Source organism: Homo sapiens, chromosome 4, assembly GCF_000001405.40.
Source record: "Homo sapiens chromosome 4, GRCh38.p14 Primary Assembly".
NCBI classification, from domain to species: Eukaryota; Metazoa; Chordata; class Mammalia; order Primates; family Hominidae; genus Homo; species Homo sapiens.
Genome location: NC_000004.12, coordinates 151,910,623 through 151,912,845, shown reverse-complemented (window position 1 = coordinate 151,912,845; position 2,223 = coordinate 151,910,623). Strand labels below are relative to the sequence as shown.

The following is a 2,223-nucleotide window of genomic DNA, read 5'->3' as shown; positions in this document are numbered from 1 at the left end:
GAAGAGAAACAGAAACACAGAAGTACTAGTAGATCAAAACAGAGAGAAGAGGGGGAAAATACGAGGAGGGGAAGCAGCTGCCAACAGTGGGGCCCTCCTCCCTCAGAGCCGCTCTCAGCCTCCATTCCCCTCACCTGCCTCTGGCCCTGAGACACCAGATGCCATCCTGGCCGACCCATTGTGGAAGGACGTTCAGCCCTCAGTGTCTATTTTCTGACCCACAGATGAAAGTGAAAAAGATGAATTTTGCTTTTTTTATGGGATAGCTGTAATCCCACCGTTTCTCTTTCCTCTAAGCCAGGGGGCATCAGAAAGATTTCTGCTGGCCACAGACGGAGCTGTTGCCCTGGCTGTTCTTGATTAGTCAGGGCTCCCAGTGAGAAGGGCCTCATCTTCACAGGCTCCTTATTTCACCACCCCACTCTCAGAAGAGGAGGCCTTCCCTCCACGGTCTCCTCAGGAATCTCAGATTCTAGAAAATAAAAAGAATTTCCTCCTCACAGAAGGCTTAGCCACCCCTGCTTCAGTTGGTTTCTAACCACCAGTGCTAGGGCTTTTTCATGCTCAGGAGGCTGACTTTTTCACAGAGGACAATTCAACCCTTGTTTGGTGACCTGCAGGGTGTCCTTTCTGGGACTGAGAGGTGACGTCTAGAGCATGGCTCAGCCCCACTGCCTCTTGGTCTCTCAGGGATGGGTCACTCAGGGTAATGGCTCAGCCTCAGGGCTGTAGCTCAGGCAAAGGCTGGCTGCCTCCAGCCAGGGGCTGGGTGCGGATTCTGGAGTATGCCCAGTCTCAGGCTCTCAGCCCCTCACTCCCCATCCAAGGAGAAAACTCTCCCAACCATAAAGACATGAGTTGCCTTGTTGCATTAAACCGCATTACAAAGAAATCCATTAGCCACTCTGAGCACTGCTCTCCTTTGGGGCCTCTCTTGCACAAAGATATTTTATCTTTTTAATGAATAAAACATGCTGATTTCCTAAAATTAAAAAGTGTGGTGGTAATGGAGAATTCTCAGGAAGCATTCTGAAACCTGTGCACTGTGGAGCAGAGGACCGAAAAACCCGGCTCTGGGGCTTCCTGTCTCTGCCCCTGAGTGATGCTCCTTCTCCAAAGGTCCTTGCTTCTTCCTTCCTAGAGTCCACTGCGCTTCCCTGCCTGCCTGACATGGCAGCCCACCGACGAGGGAACTGTGGTTCACTGAAAAATCACTGACATGAGGCCAACCGAGTAATAGGAGAGAAAGCATACTAATTCATTCAATGTGTATCCACGGAGGCTTCAGAATGAAGACCCCAAGACACGGGGGAAATTGTCTGTTTTTATGTTTAGGCTTAACAAAGTATGGACAGCCAGGTAGAAGTCTGATTTGACAAAAGGGAGGATGATCTGATGTTAATAGACTGAGTAGAAAACCCAGCAAGACCTGTCTAGATTCTTCTTGGCCTCTCTAAAGCATTCCTTCCTTCTGGGTGTGGGGCAGGGCCTCTCTGGAATGGGGGCTTGTGACCTACAGTCAAACCAGGTAGGTCAGATATGTTCTTTATGGTCAGTTTTCACAGATAATATTTTTAGATTTTATGGCTAGCTTTGGGGAAAAGGGGTTCTGGTTTCTATAACCTGCCTTGAGAAAGAGGGATTCTAGTTTCAGTGGCTGGCCTTGGGAGAAAATGGGACTGAGAGGAGGGCAGGAGAAGGTCAGAGAGAAACGTTCGCTTCTGAGGCTGCTGCTGAGATCTTCCTTTTGGGGTACTGTTTTCTGAGCCCCTACAGAGCCATGCCCTATGCAGCAGGTACTCAGGAAGTTTCTACTGTCCACATCAGGAGAGATGGGAAGCACTGTGCCCTGTCTTCCTGCATTCTCCCTTCTGCATTCTTGTTGGCTCTGGCTTCTCCCTCTCTCCCAAAAGCCCCAGCTAAGTGTGAACTATAATAAATAGCTGTGGAGACAGGCCAGCCTGAAAGCTAAGACCAGACTCTTACTACGTTCAGAAGACACAGCTCCCAGCTAGAAGCCACAGCCATTTTCCCAGAAGTGTAAAGTGACTACTAAACCTGGCTGTCAATGATTTGCCCTTGGAGGAGCTAGAAACACGTGCTGGGAGGACACAAAGGGTTGGAGTTTTAAGGAAAAAGAAAATGAAGTGCACAAAGCTGTGTAACTTTTGCCCTCCCTCCCCACTCCTCGCATTTTGCTGGGGGTGGGAAAACAGGGAAGGA

The 2,223-nt window shown here is 49.5% G+C and overlaps 1 long non-coding RNA gene across 1 annotated transcript in view; it reads right to left on the bottom strand.

The window, feature by feature from the left end:
• Positions 1-2,223, bottom strand: part of LOC127898557 (uncharacterized) — a 140,693-nt gene that overhangs the window by 27,206 nt on the left and 111,264 nt on the right. The gene's annotated exons all lie outside the window — the stretch shown is intronic.